Here is a 17960-nt window from a genome sequence, read left to right as displayed (position 1 = left end):
TGATCTCAGCACTTGGGAGGAAGAAGCCGCAGGTTCTGCCTCTGCCTCGGGCAGCCTCTGACGGGATGCGAAGAGGGACGTGGGTTTGAAATCCCCAACAGCCCAGCCCAGACCACCCTGGCAGACTCTACCAGCCCGTACTGTGAGTTACTAACTCCACCCCCCGACCTCAGAAGCTGGGTCTCAGGGTCTCCATTTTTACTTCTTCTTCTTTTTTTTTTTTTTTGAGACAAAGTCTTGCTCTGTCACCCAGGCTGGAGTGCAGTGGCGTGATCTCAGCTCACTGCAACCTCCACCTCCTGAGTTCAAGCGATTCTCCTGCCTTAGCCTCCTGAGTAGCTGGGATTACAGGCGTGTGCCACCACACCGAGCTAATTTTTAAATTGTTTGTAGAGACGGGGTTTAGCCATGTTGCCCAGGCTGGTCTCGAACTCCTGTCCTCAAGCAATCCACCTGCCTCGGCCTCCCAAAGTGCTGGGATTACAGGCCTGAGCCACTGCACCCAGCCTTCGAGGTCTCCATTTGACAAGATGCGTTGAGGGGTGAACACGGAGAGGCAGAGAAAGCTGGAGCCGTGTGGAGCTGGGGGAGTCAGGCGCCTGCCTGCAGCCACTCTCCTCCACCAACAGAGAGGGGACATGACAGAGGGAGCAGAGAGAACAGCCCCCAAGGGGCCCCTGCTCCCTGGGCAGAAGGCCAGAGGCTCCGGCGGCCATGCTTGCTGCCTCCGCCAGGCCATGTGCTGCTTGGGGCCATGTAGAGCCTGATTCTGAGAATCTGCGGCATCCCCCAGGTGGGTGTGCGGGACAGGGAGGAGGCTCACAGAGAGGCTTGTGGGGGGAAGCAGGGAGGATCAGCCTCAACATTGCTCTGCCAGGAACCGGCCTCCCTCCTTTCTCCGGGTGTGCCCTTCCTGTAGCAGGCAGGATGGGCAGGGGAGGGAGGCGGCTCCGTGGCGCGCCCCCACGTCCTGTCCTGCTTATGACAGCTCAGGGAGGCCCCGGTCTAGCCTGTAGGCCTTTGCTCTCTCAGTCCCCCCACCTGAAAGGCCACCCCACTGCTTCAGGAGGTGCCCCAAACCTCCAGGCTCTACCTCCGTCTCCCCCTCTGCACGACGCCTCTAAAGCCACCGCTCGCTTCCCGGCTCGGCTTTTCCAGGGCAGTAGGGGCAGCACGCTGGACTATGGTCTGCCCAGAGACAGAGACAGAGGAAGCGTACAGCCCCCCGGCTGCCCCATCATGGACACCGAGGTGTGTACTTTGGCTTCAGAAAGCTGGAGGAGGGAGAAGAGCCCCACCTACGGGGACCCCAGGAAGGACAAAGCGTGGTTTGGGAATGTGGAACCACGGCCTTGCCGCTCACTTGCCCCTTCTCGGTGGCTGCTTCTCGGAGGCTCCAGAGGCCTCCAGTTCCCTGAGGGGAGCAGTAGCTGGTGCAGAAGAACACAGAGTGACTTCTGAACTCCCCATAGTCTGTTCCTCTGCCTGGAACAGCCTCCCTGGGGACCCCGGCCCTGGCCTACTCCTCCTACACCCTAGAGCTCATCTGCCCCTTCCTGCAGGCCCTACTTACCCAGCCCAGCCCCAGCATGCTGCAGTGAGTCCAGCCTTCCCATTCCTGGTCATACCCCAGCTCCGTCAGGGATCCTGTTTACCCTGTTTCCCCGCAGGGGCTGGCTCACAGTAGAAATTTTTTTTTTCTTTTTTTTTTTGAGACGGAGTTTCACTCTTTTGCTCAGGCTGGAGTGCAATGGCTCAATCTCGGCTCACCGCAACTTCTGCCTCCTGGGTTCAAGCAATTCTCCTGCTTCAGCCTCCTGAGTAGCTGGGACTTCAGGTGGCCGCCACCATGCCCAACTAATTTTGTATTTTTAGTAGAGACGGGGTTTCTCCATGTTGGTCAGGCTGGTCTCGAACTCCTGACCTCAGATGATCCACCTGCCTCGGCCTCCCAAAGTGCTGGGATTACAGGCTTGAGCCACCGCACCCGGCCCACAGTAGAAATCTTGACAAGTACTTGTTCCGTGAGAGACGGCGGTGGGGGGTCTTGGAGCCTCCAGGAGACCTTCCAGCCCGAAGGTCTCCCACACTCCTCCCAGCCCTAAAAATGCTTCCCTGCTTCCTATGTCGAGGTCAGGGAGGGAGCTGTTGCGGCACAAAAGAGCATCAGGGCCCTGGGCCAGGGCCACAGGCAGCATTCTCTGACTCTAGAGCCCGGCTCACAACTTACCTCCGCCCTATGATTTTGTTAAGGAGATTATAGATATGGAGATGGGGAAAGAAGATAAATAGAAAATGTTAAAAATCTGTTCTCTCTGGGTAACAGGATTTGTGCTTATCCACATCCACAATCTCAAAATGTTCTGCACCAAAACATAAAAAGCCTTCAGCTCCTCAGCCCTGGCCTGGACTACCCAGAGGGCACCATGCAGCAGACGATGCGATTCTATCTGTAGCCACCAGGTGGCAGCAAAGACCAGGGCACCCGCCTGGCCCAGCCCCAGCCTCCCACGGCACCTGCCTTCCCAACAGGGCCCAGAAGTGGGGTATTGTGAGCCCCATTGGATGACCAGGGAAACCAGGATCCAGGTGGGAAAAGGCACCTGCCCATGTCACAGCCCAGCACGGGCAGAGCCTGGACTAGAACCCCCATCTTCCAACTCACCCGCTCATTTCACCAGTACCTAGGGGTCACTTGGCTTTAACTGCGATACCCAAAAGGGCCTTGCAAAGATTCAGACGGGGCCAAGGTCCTGCAGCCAGCCTGGAGAGGAAGTGGATTTGAGCCCGATCTGCCTGAGCGCCGGGGCTGCGCGAGGCTCTCAGCCCAACATCCGGGGCCGTCCCCAGGAGCACGCCCCCTGCCTGCAATGGCAGAGTCCGGTGCCACCCAGGGGCCCCGCTGGGGAGTCTTGGGGTCCCGTTGGGGCTGCTTTGGGAAAGGGTGGAATGGAGTGCAGCCCAGGGTGTCGCTGGGAGGCCCCGCTGTGCCTCCCCTAACTCCGTGCCAGGCCCAGGCCCCCAACACTTTCCTGGAGCCCACATTAGCAGCAGCTTTGGCAAGGTCCGTCCCACACCAGCCAGGCCGAGAGCAGGAGGAACAGCAGGACAAGGGCTGCAGCCAGGGTCACGGAAGGCGCCAGGGTCACGGAAGGCACCAGGTCCGAGTCTTCAGGGTCATCACCAGGGACATCTCTGGGGACGTTGGGGACACCGGACAGCTGGGTGCCAGAGACCTTCTCCCCTGGGGGCCCTGGGCAGCCCATCTGTGGGAAGGAGGAGGCAAGGGGCAGGACCTCCTCGGGGAAGGCCCCACCTGCCCACCCTCTGCTGTCCCTCTGGTCTGCTCCCTCAGGAAGGCCTGATGTGGGTTGCATAGGCCAAAGCAGGGGGCATGAGGTGACCTAGAAGTGACCCTGGGCAGCAGCTCTGAGCTTCAGTCTTCTCCTCCATAAAACAGGGGTGAAGAAGACCCCCAGAGTGGGATGAGTATTCCCGGCATCTGCTCCCCGCCTCCCACCTTCCCAAGACACGGCAGCCCTACTGTCCCCTCGGAGACCTCGGCCCTGGTGCCAGGCCTGGAATGCAGCTTGGCCCGTTTCCGGGGAACTGGGAAGCTGTCAGACTGGTCTGGAGGGACCTTTGTCAAACTGCATCAACGCGGCCAGCTGCCCTCCCCCTGCACGGCAGCGGTGAGGTGGGCACAGGTGGCATCCATCCTACAGATGAGAAAAGTGAGGCTTAGCGGACCAGTGGCTCCTGAGAAGCCCCGGAGATTGGCAGAGGCCCCTATGGCAGCCCCCGTGGAGACCTGGGAAACAGCTTCCAAGTGCCAGGCCCCAGCCCTCCCCCGCAACAGGGCAGAGTCTGGACCAGATCATTTAAGCCCCAGCGCCCTGGACCAGCAAACCACCGCCAGGGATGCTCCACCCAGCCCCCTCCAGATCCTGCCCCCAAGCTGGACTCCAGGCCCCTCCCTCTTACCCCAGCTGGGTGTGCAAGGCCCAGTCACCTTCCAGCCATGGGGGGTCCCATGTCCTGGGAGGGGCCTGCCCTCAGCTGCCATGCTCCCCAGGGACAGGCGGCGGACAGTGGCAGCTGAGTGCACCCCCTCGAGCTTCCCTCTGCAGGACCCACCCCCCTGGGGCCTTCCTCGGGGAGGCGCCCAGCAGGAATGACAGGAAAGGAGGGAGAACTCGCTGTGGGTGTGGCCAGCACTGAGAGAGGGGTGGTGGCCGTCCCAGGCACCAGAGCAGACCCAGGGTCCCCCCAGACCAGCTCTCTTTCTGCTGCTCTGAACTGAGATTCCTGCCTGGGGCGGGAGGCCACGGAAGGGGAGAGGACTCTGAGTTCAAGTCAGCAAGGGGCTTCCAGACACCCTTTGTGTGCCCAGCACTATGGATTGGGGGGTGCCTTCACACCCCCTCAGAGGCCAGGTCCCCAAGCAGCCTGTCTGTCACAGATCCAGGAGAGAAGGACAGGAGAGAGGAAGGTGAGCTTCCCCATGAGAAGGTTAAAACAGGCTTTAGAGGTCACAAAAGCAGTCCCTGCAGAAGGAAATTATTCTTTAAAAACAAAGATGTTCATCATGTTAATTTTTTTTTTTTTTTTTTTTTTGTATTTTTAGTAGAGACAGGATTTCTCCATGTTGGTCAGGCTGGTCTCAAACTCCCAACCTCAGGTGATCCGCCTGCCTCAGCCTCTCAAAGTGCTGGGATTACAGGCGTGAGCCATTGCACCTGGCCGGCCCCATCATGTTAATTTTAACAGCAAAAATGGTTTGTTGGGGTTCAGACCATGATCCCCACAAGCAGGGTGCCTGGCATGAGGATTCAGAACTAAAGGAAACCAGAAGGCCTCTGGTGCATCCGAAGTCTTCTTCCAACCTTCTCCTCCCCTCCTTTCTCCCGCCCTCTTTCTCCCCAGCAGCAAGTTGCAGAAGCCAGAATTCCTCTTTCCCTAGGTGGGCCATGGACACTAGAGTCCCTCTCCCCCAAAGCCAGCCATGAGACCTAGAAACATGACTCGAACGCTACCTGCCTTTCTGGGGAAGAGCTGGCCATGCCCACCTTGTCTGACTGTGGGTCGTAAAAGACCCTCCCTCCGGGGGTTCTACCCCATCCCTGGGGGGAGAAGCACTGCACAGAGAGGCCAAGGGGGATCTGCACAGCTGGCCTCGCCAGCCTCGCAGTCCATCCCCACAGGCATCCCCTGCCGTCCGACACCTGTCCACACGGCTGCCTGTTCTCCACCAACTCTAAGCACAGGGACCATCTTCCCTGGGTCTCTGAGTCTCCACTTCTGACACCTCCCTGTCACATAAAGCTTTGATTAAATAAATCTGGTGTGCTTTTCTCTTGTGAACCTGTCTTTTGTTATAGAACTGTCACCCATGGCCCTGATGATGATGAGACCATCCCTATAAACTTTATAAAATTAATCAAGGAAGAAGAGAGGAGGAGAAATGAGAATAAACCAGGCTTGTAGCACATTCAGCATCCATCGCTAGGTCAACTTGCTCTCTGACCTCAAAGTTTTTTGGTGCCTGTTGCCTTAGAATCACAGAGACTCTGTTACAAGATTGTAGCTCTCCCTCACTGCCCTGTAGATATAGATAACAACTTTAACATTGCAAAGATGTCCTTTTCCTTTTTTTTTTTTGAGACAGAGTTTTGCTCTGATTGCCCAGGCTGAAGTGCAACCGCACGATCTCGGCTCACTGCAACCTCCACTCCTAGATTCATGTGATTCTCTCGCCTCAGCCTCCCAAGCAGCTGGGATTACAGGCTCACGCCACCATGCCTGGCTAATTCTTTGTATTTTTAGTAGAGGCAGGGTTTCACCATGTTGGCCAGGCGCCCAGTCAAAAGTTTCCATTTGAGATGTTCTTTTGGGTCCTGTGTACCAATGAAACTACTGACACCGGCCGGGCGCGGTGGCTCACGCCTGTAATCCCAGCACTTTGGGAGGCTGAGGCATGCAGATCACGAGGTCAGAAGTTCGAGACCAGCCTGGCCAACATAGTGAAAACCCATCTCTACTAAAAATACAAAAATCAGCCAGGTGTGGTGACATGCATCTGTACTCCCAGCTACTCTGGAGGCTGAGGTGGGAGAATCGCTTGAACCCAGAAGGTGAAGGTTGCAGTGAGTGGAGACCATACCACTGCACTCCAGCCTGGGTGACAGAGTGAGACTCTGTCTCAAAAAAAAAAAAAGAAAGAAACTACTGATGACAGCTGGTCTCAAGGACCCCAGGAGGACCTGATTCACCAAAGAATACATTTTCCACCTCCTGATGATTTTACCTCCCATCCCCAGACCTATCAACAACCCACTTCTAAAGCCCATCGCCCTCCATGATCCCCTTAAAAGCCCCAGCCCAAAGCTCCTAGGGGAGATGGATTTGAGGATCTCCTCCCATCTCCTTGCTCAGAGCCCTGCAATCATTAAACTCTTCCCTGCTGCGAACCCTGCTGCACGGTGTACTGGTGTGTCGTGGTGTCACGGTGGAGCAGGCATGTGGATCTGCTGGTCTTGTAACAATGGGTGAGGAAACGGATTCCACCTTTTCTACCCTTACAGTTTGAAACAGCTTTGATGCCCATGACAGAAGATTCATTACAAATTCAAGCTCATCCACCCAGCCTTTAACATTAAAAGGCTGTGAAACAGGGCCGGGTGCAGTGGCTCATGCCTGTAATCCCAGCACTTTGGGAGGCCGAGGCGGGCGGATCACGAGGTCAGGAGATGGAGACCACCCTGGCTAACACGGTGAAACCCCGTCTCTACTAAAAATACAAAAAATTAGCTGGGCGTGGTGGCAGGCGCCTGTAGTCCCAGCTACTCAGGAGGCTGAGGCAGGAGAATGGCGTGAACCCAGGAGGTGGAGCTTGCAGTAAGCTGAGATGGCACCACTGCACTCCAGCCTGGGGGAAAGGGCGAGACTCATCTCAAAAAAAAAAAAAAAAGGCTGTTAAGCAGGGTTCTGTGCAAGAAGGCTCACACCGGCTCATTCTTTTAGCCAAAAACTGTGCTACATCCGTAAAACACTACACTACGCGGCTGCAAATAAGAACAAACCACTGAACATCAGCAAACCACTGATAAATTTCATAAACATGCTGAAAAAAGAAGGCAGACAAAAAAACAGTGCTTCACATAGGTTCTCTTTATAAGACCACTGTAATCTATCGTCACAGGAAGCAGATTAATAGTTTACTGGGGAGGCCGGGCGCGGTGGCTCATGCCTGTAATCCCAGCCCTTTGGGAGGCCGAGGCCGGCAGATCACGAGGTCAGGAGATCAAGACCATCCTGGCTAACATGGTGAAACCCCATCTCTACTAAAAATACAAAAAAATATTAGCCGGGCATGGTGGCGGGCACCTGTGGTCCCAGCTACTCAGGAGGCTGAGGCAGGAGAATGGCATGAACCTGGGAGGCGGAGCTTGCAGTGAGCCGAGATCGCACCACTGCACTCCAGCCTGGGGGACAGAGTGAAACTCCCTCTCAAAAAAAAAAATAGTTTACTGGGGAGCAGGGAAAGGAGGTTGACCTCAGAAAGGCACAAAGAAACCTTCTAGAAGGGTGGAAATGGGCTGGGCGTGATGACTCACGCCTGTAATCCCAGCACTTTGGGAGGCCAAGGCGGGAGGATCACCTGATGTTGGGAGTTTGAGACCAGCCTGGCCAACATGGTGAAACCCCATCTCTACCAAAAATGCAAAAACTACCCAGGTGTGGTGGCGGGCGCCTGTAATCCCAGCTACTCGGGAGGCTGAGGCAGGAGAATCGCTTGAACCCAGTGGTCGGAGGTTGCAGTGAGCCGAGATCGCACTACTGCACTCCAGCCTGGGCAACAGAGAGAGACTCTGTCTCAAAAAAAGATAAAAGAAAGAAAGAAAAGGTGGAAATGTTTTATATCTTGATTGGGGGTGTTTGGGGTTATACAATTGTCAAAACTCATCAACCTATATTTAAAATGGATTCATTTTACTGTATATAAATTATAGCTTAACAAAGTTGATTTTTCTTGTATTTTATTTTTTCAAGAAGGCTCTCCCTCTGTCACCCAGGCTGGAGTGCTGTGGTGTGATCACAGCTCACCGCAGCCTCAAACTCCTGGGCTCAAGCAATCTTCCCACCTCTGCCTTCCGAGTAGCTGGGGCCACAGGCACTTGCCATCACACCTGGACAACTTTTTTAGCTTTTTGTAGAGACAGGGTCACTTTGTTGCCCAGGCTGGTGTCAGACTCCTGGCATCAAGCAATTCTCCTACCTTGGCCTCCTAAATGCTGGGATTACAGGCACACACCACTGCACCTGGCCTAAAGTTGATTTTAAAAGAAAAAAAATACATTTTAAAAAAAGAGAAGGCCGGGTGCGGTGACTCACGCCTGTAATCCCAGCACTTTGTGAGGCTGAAGCGGAAGGATCACAAGGTCAGGAGTTCAAGACCAAGCTGGCCAACATGGTGAAACCCCGTCTCCACTAAAAATACAAAAATTAGCCGGGCGTGGTGGCACATGCCTGTAATCCCAGCTACTTGGGAGGCTGAGGCAGGAGAATCGCTTGAACTCGGGAGGTGGAAGTTGCAGTAAGCTGAGATCGTGCCACTGCACTCCAGCCTGGCCAACAGAGCGAGACTCCGTCTCAAAAAAAAAAAAAAAAATACACATATAGATATGTAAAAATACATACACATATATATGTATATACGTATATATATGGCCACGAGGACTGTGCAGCCTGATCACCATACCAGGGTGTGCCTGAGTCCAAAGCCTATGATCTTGATGGCAAGAAAACGGTGACGTAAAGGGGCTGCACAGTTTAATGGGGGCCCCAATAGCAAATATGCAAAATAGGCACATGAGGAAAAGACTGGAAGAGGCTAAAACGCCATCAAGGTCAGGCTGACGGGAGATGGATGTGATTTTATTGTTCTATTATGGTTGTATTTCAATCATAATAAAAGGGAATTCTAACTTTTAAAAATGCTTTACCATGTTAATAGCTAAAATGGGAAATGACCCAAATACTCAGCAACAAAGGCTCCGTTTAAAAGCGTGTGTGGCACGTCCATCCAACAGAGCAGGGCGTGATTCCGTCCTCTTCCCGAAAAGGCCCAAAGGGAGAGGTGGAACTGCTGTGGGATTTTTTGAGGACGGTCTTCCCGGGAATTTTCCATTTCTGCTTTTCTTATTTTTCAATGTTATCTTACTACCTGGGTTACGTGTCACGAGCTCAGGTTATTTCTACCACCAGAGCCTGGGGTGGAGGATACAGACCTCGCCCACTGGAGCTGCCCACAGCGCCTCGCCGGCCCCTCCTGCCTCCTTCGTCCCGCACATCCGCTGCTGCCCTGACACACCCCGATTCCCTGGTGCCAGGGAGAGCCAGGGCAGAGGTGGCCCTGAGACGCCACGCGACGGGGAGGGCTAGAGCGTAAGGAGGAGCGAGGTGCGCATTCGCTGTGACCCTGGCGCTCGGCTTCGCCTCTCTGGGCCTCGGTTTCCACCCCGCGGGAGCGAGTACGACAGGGGCTGCGCGCATTGCCGCAGTCACGCCTGCAAGAGCCGGGCCGGGTGAGCCGCTTCCGGCGCTCCGCGGGGGCCCCGGACGATCCAGCAGGGGCTCCGCCCTGGGACCCCCATCCTGTCTTGGGGCGTGACCTTCGGGGGCGCACGCGGTGCCGGCCGCGCCCGGGGAAGCCGGGTCCGCATCCGAGCATCAGGACAGCCTGCGGCCGCCCCATTGGCCGGCGTGTCTCTGCAGGGCCGTCCCACAGCCAATAGCGGCCAAGGGGCGGAGCCTGGCCGGTGCCCTCGGAGCTGCTGGCCCCGGGCGGCTGCTCCAGTCTGAGCGCCCTCCGCTCGCCCCGAGAGAGACCCGGCCATGCAGGAGCCGCTGCTGGGAGCCGAGGGCCCGGACTACGACACCTTCCCCGAGAAGCCGCCCCCGTCGCCAGGGGACAGGGCGCGGGTCGGGTGAGAGTCGCTAGGTTGGGGGCTGCGGGTGGGGCCTGGGGGTGGCCCTGGTTCCCTCCAGCCGGCGGCAGGCTCCCGCCCTGGGCCTCCCCTGACCTAGTCGCCACCGAGGGGCCATCTGGCTCCCTCCTGTCCCAGACACGCTACTCCTATTTAAGGAACTGGTCCCCCTAAGGGAAGGAACGATCCACGAGAGTACCGGGCCCAGCCCCCCACTGCCACAGACAGTGAGACTGAGGCCCCAGCGAGCAGGGGTTCTGCCTGAGGTCACACAGCAAGCCTCCAGCCGCCGCCCTGGGGGCAGAACCAGAGCCTCCTCTTCCGGAGAAAAGGCCCCAGCACCAGAGGCTCAGCCACTGCGGATGAGCTAACAATGGCCTGGGAATTTCCCAGGGGAGCTGGGGCTCAGGCCCTGGGAACGTGAATGGCCTTGGACCCAGGCCTCCCTAGCACTGCCCGCTGAGCCGGGCAGCCACTGGGTTCAGAAAAGGCAATGGTCCCTGGAGGAGGGACTCAGAGACCCTGGTCTTTTTGTCCGCCACCATCACCAGGACCCTGCAGAACAAAAGGGTGTTCCTGGCCACCTTCGCCGCAGTGCTCGGCAATTTCAGCTTTGGGTATGCCCTGGTCTACACATCCCCTGTCATCCCAGCCCTGGAGCGCTCCTTGGATCCTGACCTGCATCTGACCAAATCCCAGGCATCCTGGTTTGGGGTAAGGACCATCCTCTGGAGGAGGGTGGGTGCAGGAAGGAGGGACCTGCTGAGCCTTATCTCCAGCTAGGAACCTCCCAAATTCTCCACCTTGGGGGTCCCTCCAGGGCCCTGGTCCCCCCTCCCCCAGCCATCCAGGCCACTAGTGGGTGGGGTAAAGCTACAGGATTCCTCTGAAATGAGGAACTGAAAGCCAGTGGAGAGGGTGAGGGAAGGAGCAGGTGGGGAGGTGGCTGTCAGGGTCTATACTAGGTGGGGCTGAGGCTTCCCCGGGTCCCCACACCCACAGTTGGCTGGATGGGGGCAAGGGTATCAGGTGTCAGTGGGGAGAGGCACTGGCTGGGGCAAGGAGAGTCCGCAGGACAGATTGTGGGCTGATGGAGAGGAAGATCCCAGAGTCCCAGAGTCTAAAATTATAATCTTAATAGCCTCATATGTAGAGTTGTTAACATAGTAGTTAAGATAAAAATTCCCAAGGTTTACTGAGCACTTCCTATGTGCCAGGCATGTGTTGGGCACTGAACGTTCATTGATTCTCAGGGCCAACGCCACGAGGTAGAACTTGCGCTCTCCCCATAAGACAGCTGAAGAAACTGAGGTGCAGACAGGCTGGGCAATGTGCCCAGGTCCCACTACCAGTTAGCAGAGTCCAGAGGGGGTCCCAGTTGCTGCTGTACAGGGAACTTAAGAACCTCCAAATCTTAAAGCCCAGTACCTTCAAGTCACAGAATTCTCCTGTATTAAAATATTAGACATTTAAACATCAGGCTGGACAGAACCACTGTGGATATGTGGCGCAGCACCTCTTCCTTAGAGCAGAATTCCCCGTTTGGGCATCCCTAACAAATGGCTGTTCCTTGAAGACAGGAGGCTCCCTGTTTCAAGTGCTTGACTTGGCCAAGTGCTTGACCAGCTCCTGGGGTCGGCCTAGGGAAGAAGCTGTCCCTGGACTCTGATGAGATTGGGGTGCCAAGTGCCCAGACATATCTGCCCTGCACCCCCTTCCCCTGCAGTCCGTGTTCACCCTGGGAGCAGCGGCCGGAGGCCTGAGTGCCATGATCCTCAACGACCTCCTGGGCCGGAAGCTGAGCATCATGTTCTCAGCTGTGCCGTCGGCGGCCGGCTATGCGCTCATGGCGGGTGCGCACGGCCTCTGGATGCTGCTGCTCGGAAGGACGCTGACGGGCTTCGCCGGGGGGCTCACAGCTGCCTGCATCCCGGTAAGGCCAGGCCTTCCCACCCAGGCGCCCCAATGCCTCTGTATTGGTGCTGAGCCTCCATCTGACTAAGGCCTCCCAGCCTCCATGCCTTCTGGGCAATGAGAATTGTTTGCCTTCCCTGCGGATGCCCAGGGCGCCTCAGCTCACCCCCAGCAGGGCAGCTAATTTGGGGGAAATTGTCTCCAGGTCCCCAGCTGCCCCCACTCTGGACTTTCCAAGCCTTCTACCCCGTTTCTTGACCGGTCAGATGTATTACTCAATTGGAGAAAATCCGCATTGAGCAATGGGTAGGAGAGGGAAGTCCCTGCCCTACACCCTCCCCGGGACCTTCTTATCTTATGTGGTACTCCACACGGGGCCTGGTGGTGAGCCCAGCAGAGGAGACAAAACTCACTGGGAGGCATGGACTCACCTGCTCAGCCCTGAAGCCTGGGAGCCCTCGGGCCTCCTTCCCAGCGTCATGCTGCCCATTTCCGAGCTGCGTACTTCCACCCACGTCACAGTTAGGGAAACTGAGGACAGAGAGAGATCAGGCAGGCCGCCCAAGGTCTTGCAGTGAGTCATGACCAGGACTCAGCCCCACCAGAAAGCCTCCACTTCCCACTTTCCGGGGTTCACAGGGGCTGACTCTCCCATCTCGGCCGGGCCTAGGAACCAGTATTTTCAGCAAAACCTGGTGCGGCGGCTGTGTCTTGCAGGTGTACGTGTCTGAGATTGCTCCCCCAGGCGTTCGTGGGGCTCTGGGGGCCACACCCCAGCTCATGGCAGTGTTCGGATCCCTGTCCCTCTACGCCCTTGGCAAGTATGGCCCCGCACTCCTGTGTGCAGGCTGGTGGGAGGGGTGGGTGCCGCCAAGGTAGACGTGGGTGGAAAGGGAATGATTTGTCCCAGAACAGATCCTGGGCTGAGAGGCAAGAGATCTGGCATCCCGGCCCCACTCAGTCAGCACCTTGCTGGGCACCTCCAGGCAGGGCCTGCCCCTCTAGCCACAGGCCCAGTCTCTAGCTGGGGCAGCCAGGGCTTCTCCTGGACCCACAGTCGCCAGACTATCTTTTAACGGCAGAAAGCTTCCATCAAATGCCATCTCAGATGGGAAGTCCAGATAGAAAAGAAATCACAGTGCGTGCAGCTGCTCAGTTGAGGGGGCGTGGAGGTCTTGGGTGGAGGCCTAGGGCCTTGCCTGCCCAACCTACCCCTTCCTCATCCTGCCCTGGCCCTAAGACTTTCCAAGGACTTCCCACTATGTGCCAGGGGCTGAGCAATCCCTGCAGCCCCACCCTGCCTGGGGCAATCAGGGTAGGCTTCCTGTAGGAGATGGCCCTTGGACTAGACCTTGAAGGGCAGATGAGGTTATTCAGAGGCTCCAGAGGGAAGGGGCTGTACCAGGCCTGGACCTGGCCCCTCACCCACCCCTCGCCCCCAGGCCTCCTGCTGCCGTGGCGCTGGCTGGCTGTGGCCGGGGAGGCGCCTGTGCTCATCATGATCCTGCTGCTCAGCTTCATGCCCAACTCGCCGCGCTTCCTGCTCTCTCGGGGCAGGGACGAAGAGGCCCTGCGGGCGCTGGCCTGGCTGCGTGGGACGGACGTCGATGTCCACTGGGAGTTCGAGCAGATCCAGGACAACGTCCGGAGACAGGTGCAGGAGGGTGTGCGCCCGAACCGGGCAGGCCCACCTCCAGCACTTCAGCTGTGTGTGGCCGTGGAGGCTTTTCCTGGAAGACAGGACCACAGTAGTTCCCACTAATCCAAGTGCCTGGGTTGGGGTGGGGGGCTGTTCCCAGAGCCTGGGTGGCCTGGTAAGCTGGTTCTTTCCTGGAGGAGGGAAAAAGGAGGTCTCCCACACAACCCCTGGCGGTCCAGGGCAGGATGGCGCCTGCTGGAGAGGCTGGCCCAACGCCCTCAGCGGCGGCCTTGTGTTTCAGAGCAGCCGAGTATCGTGGGCTGAGGCACGGGCCCCACACGTGTGCCGGCCCATCACCGTGGCCTTGCTGATGCGCCTCCTGCAGCAGCTGACGGGCATCACGCCCATCCTGGTCTACCTGCAGTCCATCTTCGACAGCACCGCTGTCCTGCTGGTGAGAGCCCAGCCCCGGCCGGCGCCCACCCACGGGGTCCCCTGGAGGCTGGCAGGGCAGGGGAGGCAGGGCCTGCTCCTGCACTTACCCAACCCCTGGTCTTACCCACACCTGCTCTGTGCCAGGTGTCAGGGATGCCACAGCAAGATCTGAGATCTGGGCCTTGTGGAGACAGTTCCAGTGCCTTCACCTGTTCTCAGAATGTTTTTAAGATAAGCTTAAGTGTTTTAAAATAAAATACTGGCAAAATCCCAACACGAGGCCAAGGCGGGAGGATCACTTAAGCCCAGGAGTGTGAGACTGCAGTGGCCACGATCTCACCACTGCACTCCATCCTGGTGACAGAGCAGGACCCTGTCTCTAAAAACATATAGAAATTTTAAAAATTAAATAAAATACATGGGATTACAAAGGAAACCAGCTTTATAGAAACGTGGACCCCTTGAGGCCACAGACCCCAGGTTCAGAGCCCTGTGGCATCTGCCACTTAATGAGGGAAGTCACTTTCCCCTCTGAACCTCAACTTCCTCCTCTGCAAGATGAAGATAGCAGCACATCTCCATCAGCCTGCCCCAAGGCTCAAAGTGAGATGAGATTTGAAGATTAGTAACAGCACGGTTCAGCAAGTCATCATCACGCCTGGATTCTGTGCCAGCTGGGCATAGTGGTGGGCAGAGCAGATGTGTCCCTGCCCAGGAGCCCCATAGGCTCGGACAGTATAGATGCCCAGCACGCTGCAGGTGCCAGGCCACTCAGTACTGCACTGAGCTGCTGGCCTGAGCCCCTGCAATGCCTGCCGGGACAAGCTGGGTCCTGGAGGGGGATGGGAACAGCAGGCAGGTCCCTCAGCCCTGGTGGTCTCCCCCCGATAGCCCCCCAAGGACGACGCAGCCATCGTTGGGGCCGTGCGGCTCCTGTCCGTGCTGATCGCCGCCCTCACCATGGACCTCGCAGGCCGCAAGGTGCTGCTCTTCGTCTCAGGTAAGCACCCTGCAGGCAGCCCTCCTGCCCCACTCCTCCGCATGGGTCAGGGCTGGGCTGGGTGTGCAGGCCTGCCTCGGGGTGGGGCTGTGTGGCTGGGAACTGCAGAGCACCTGCCTCCCTAGCATCGGCAGGGCCCTGGCCCAGGCCAGTGGTCCAGAAAGGTCCGCTGGGGCTCCGAGTGGACACACTGGCTGTGACACTCCACGGTGGGAGCCTAACACGCGGCTGGAGACAGAGCTTGCTGCCCTGCTGGGGGTCTCTAGTCCCAGACACGAGCTGGACCACGCAAGTATCAAGGGGCTCTGCAGAAGGAGCTCTGAGAGAAACAGCTGGCTCAGAGGGTCCTGGCCCCACGAGGCCACCTGTCTGTCCACAGCGGCCATCATGTTTGCTGCCAACCTGACTCTGGGGCTGTACATCCACTTTGGCCCCAGGCCTCTGAGCCCCAACAGCACTGCGGGCCTGGAAAGCGAGTCCTGGGGGGACTTGGCGCAGCCCCTGGCAGCACCCGCTGGCTACCTCACCCTGGTGCCCCTGCTGGCCACCATGCTCTTCATCATGGGTAGGTGTGGTGGTGGCTCAGAGGGGCAGGCTGTCTTGGGTGTTAAGGGATGGGTGATGTGTCTGGGGTGGCTGGAGAGGGGGGTCTCCAGCAGCTCAGCGGAGACAGACACAGCCGCCTCCAGTCACCCCACAGGGCCTGAACCTGCCTCCTCCTCCGAGCAGGCTACGCCGTGGGCTGGGGTCCCATCACCTGGCTGCTCATGTCTGAGGTCCTGCCCCTGCGTGCCCGTGGCGTGGCCTCAGGGCTCTGCGTGCTGGCCAGCTGGCTCACCGCCTTCGTCCTCACCAAGTCCTTCCTGCCAGTGGTGGTGAGTGTTCAGCCCCAGGCCCCAGGCCCCTAGGCCCTCTCTGACTGGCCAGGACCCTTCTCAGTGCCAGGGGCTGTGCCAAGGCCTGCTGTCAGGACCCTAACTCTCAGTGACCCTAGGAGATGAGCACACACCCCCTGAACTCAGAGACCCCAGAGTGGTCACGTGATAGCCTAGCAAACGCTCTTCATTATAAGAAACAGGAACGGGCGTAGGCAACTGTTCTGGGAAGTCAGGTTACCTCCTGGGCCAGGGCAGGACATGGCCCAGGACCCTGCCAGGGGCCCCGGAAGCCACCTCCCCACCGTGCCTCATCTCCCGCCCTCCTGGGCGCTGGGTCTCAGCAGCAGCCACACTCCCCCCTCAACCCCACCCACTCCCCCTGCCTCCTGGTTCAAAACTACGGGCCCTGTGACCAGCCAGAATCTGTGAGGCCCAGAGTAAGTTCCCATGAGGGAGAAGCTGGCTAGGGCAGCCTAGGCCAGCGCCTAAGCTGTCCCTGCAGTGGTCAGGGCAGGGGGGTTGGGGGAGGGCAGGCAACCCAGAGTGAGTCCATCAGCCTAGAGGGTCCAAGAAGAACCTGCGTGCCCACCAGGCTGCAGGGCGGGCCTCCTGCAGGCCGCGGCATGGAACAGCTGGGATGCCAGCGCTGGGTAGGGGGTGTGGAGGGGGTACCTGAGCTGACGCCAGAGGGCCCAGCCCCTGAGGAAGGCCGAGGGGCAGACGGGATGCAGACTTCAAGGGCTACTTCGGATTTGTCCTGGGGACAGTGGGGGAGCCCTGGTGTGGGGGGGCGGTCTCTGAACACAGGAAGGACCAGATGAAGGCCCCACAGGGCTGGTCACTACCAGCAGCGCCCACGAGCTCCTCTGGGGCAGGAGGACCCTGGAGCTTCTCCCTGTGACCCGGCCCCGCTCTTCACCCGCAGAGCACCTTCGGCCTCCAGGTGCCTTTCTTCTTCTTCGCGGCCATCTGCTTGGTGAGCCTGGTGTTCACAGGCTGCTGTGTGCCCGAGACCAAGGGACGGTCCCTGGAGCAGATCGAGTCCTTCTTCCGCACGGGGAGAAGGTCCTTCTTGCGCTAGGTCAAGGTCCCCGCCTGGAGGGGGCCAAACCCCCAGTGGCTGGGCCTCTGTGTTGGCTACAAACCTGCACCCTGGGACCAAGAGGCAGCAGTCATCCCTGCCACCAGCCAGAGCACAGGAAGAGCAGTGTGATGGGGCCTCAGCAGCGGGTGCCCCTGGCTCGGGACAGGTAGCACTGCTGTCCAGCCACAGCCCCAGCCCAGGCAGCCCACAGTGCTGCACGTAGCCATGGGCCGCAGGAGTGCATACAACCCTGCATCCAGGGACACGGCCCTGCTGGGTGACCTCAGGCCTAGTCCCTTTCCCTTGCGTGAAGGACACGCCCCACAGAAGGCTACGGGGAGGACTGAGAGGACAGGGCTGGAGGCAGCCAAGTAACGTAGTCATATCATCGCGCTCTGATCTGGTGGCATCTGGCTGTGCAAGGAAGACCCGGCTTTGCCCTCACAAGTCTTATGGGCACCACAGGGAACATCCTGGACTTAAAAAGCCAGGGCAGGCCGGGCACAGTGGCTCACGCCTGTAATCCCAGCACTTTGGGAGGCCAAAGCAGGTGGATTACCCAAGGCCAGGAGTTCAAGACCAGCCTGGCCAACATGGTGAAACCCCGTCTCTACTAAAAAATACAAAAAAGCTGGGTGTGGTGGCACACACCCGTAGTTCCAGCTACTTGGGAGGCTGAGGCAGCATTGCTTGAACCCGGGAGGTGGAGGCTGCAATGAGCTGAGATCATGCCATTGCACTCCAGCCTGGGCAACGAGAGTGAAACTCCGTCCCCACCCCCTGCCAAAAAAAAAAAAAAAAAAGCCAGGGCAAAGGACCTGGCGTGGCCACTTCCTCCTGCCCCAGCCCAACCTCTGGGAACAGGCAGCTCCTATCTGCAAACTGTGTTCACCCTTTTGTAAAAATAAAGGAACTGGACCTGTAGTCCTAGCGAGGAAAGAGTGGGGTCTACTCCAGGAGCCCCCACAGCAGCCAGGCTAGACCCGAACCAGCCAAGGTTGCCAGGGCCACTGACTGCTGA

The 17960-nt window shown here is 58.1% G+C and overlaps 1 protein-coding gene across 8 annotated transcripts, besides 7 other annotated features; it reads left to right on the top strand.

Moving 5' to 3' along the window:
* Positions 2528-3042: an enhancer, noted in NCBI's record as "H3K4me1 hESC enhancer chr9:136351037-136351551 (GRCh37/hg19 assembly coordinates)". NCBI's record gives its function as "activates a minimal SCP1, AML or CMV promoter by ChIP-STARR-seq in primed H9 embryonic stem cells {active_cell/tissue: H9 hESC(primed)}" and the evidence as "EXISTENCE:reporter gene assay evidence [ECO:0000049][PMID:30033119]".
* Positions 3043-3558: an enhancer, noted in NCBI's record as "H3K4me1 hESC enhancer chr9:136350521-136351036 (GRCh37/hg19 assembly coordinates)". NCBI's record gives its function as "activates a minimal SCP1, AML or CMV promoter by ChIP-STARR-seq in primed H9 embryonic stem cells {active_cell/tissue: H9 hESC(primed)}" and the evidence as "EXISTENCE:reporter gene assay evidence [ECO:0000049][PMID:30033119]".
* Positions 4074-4589: an enhancer, noted in NCBI's record as "H3K27ac-H3K4me1 hESC enhancer chr9:136349490-136350005 (GRCh37/hg19 assembly coordinates)". NCBI's record gives its function as "activates a minimal SCP1, AML or CMV promoter by ChIP-STARR-seq in primed H9 embryonic stem cells {active_cell/tissue: H9 hESC(primed)}" and the evidence as "EXISTENCE:reporter gene assay evidence [ECO:0000049][PMID:30033119]".
* Positions 9347-9848: an enhancer, noted in NCBI's record as "H3K4me1 hESC enhancer chr9:136344231-136344732 (GRCh37/hg19 assembly coordinates)". NCBI's record gives its function as "activates a minimal SCP1, AML or CMV promoter by ChIP-STARR-seq in primed H9 embryonic stem cells {active_cell/tissue: H9 hESC(primed)}" and the evidence as "EXISTENCE:reporter gene assay evidence [ECO:0000049][PMID:30033119]".
* Positions 9347-10108: a biological region, named in NCBI's record as "H3K4me1 hESC enhancer GRCh37_chr9:136344231-136344732".
* Positions 9459-10108: a silencer, noted in NCBI's record as "silent region_20463". NCBI's record gives its function as "represses an Ori minimal core promoter by ATAC-STARR-seq in GM12878 lymphoblastoid cells {active_cell/tissue: GM12878}" and the evidence as "EXISTENCE:reporter gene assay evidence [ECO:0000049][PMID:35858748]".
* On the top strand, positions 9858-17863 carry SLC2A6 (solute carrier family 2 member 6). Of its 8 annotated transcripts, NM_017585.4 has the most exons (10): positions 9858-9989; positions 10541-10703; positions 11716-11922; positions 12621-12720; positions 13346-13557; positions 13844-13996; positions 14869-14977; positions 15357-15542; positions 15707-15852; positions 16781-17863. In NM_017585.4, exons 1-10 carry the CDS (start codon positions 9898-9900, stop codon positions 16934-16936), a joined length of 1524 nt encoding a protein of 507 aa, NP_060055.2. In that variant the 5' UTR covers positions 9858-9897; the 3' UTR covers positions 16937-17863. The 8 variants fall into 8 exon arrangements, with proteins under 8 accessions (NP_060055.2, NP_001138571.1, XP_047278661.1 ...); NM_001145099.2 differs by lacking the exon at positions 15357-15542; XM_047422705.1 differs by lacking the exons at positions 15707-15852; positions 16781-17863 and having other exon boundaries at positions 15103-15477.
* Positions 10269-10328: an enhancer, noted in NCBI's record as "active region_29246". NCBI's record gives its function as "activates an Ori minimal core promoter by ATAC-STARR-seq in GM12878 lymphoblastoid cells {active_cell/tissue: GM12878}" and the evidence as "EXISTENCE:reporter gene assay evidence [ECO:0000049][PMID:35858748]".
* Positions 17864-17960: the final 97 nt, after the last annotated feature.

Source organism: Homo sapiens, chromosome 9 (genome assembly GCF_000001405.40).
Source record: "Homo sapiens chromosome 9, GRCh38.p14 Primary Assembly".
Lineage (NCBI taxonomy): Eukaryota > Metazoa > Chordata > Mammalia > Primates > Hominidae > Homo > Homo sapiens.
This window is presented reverse-complemented; position numbering and strand designations above follow the sequence as displayed.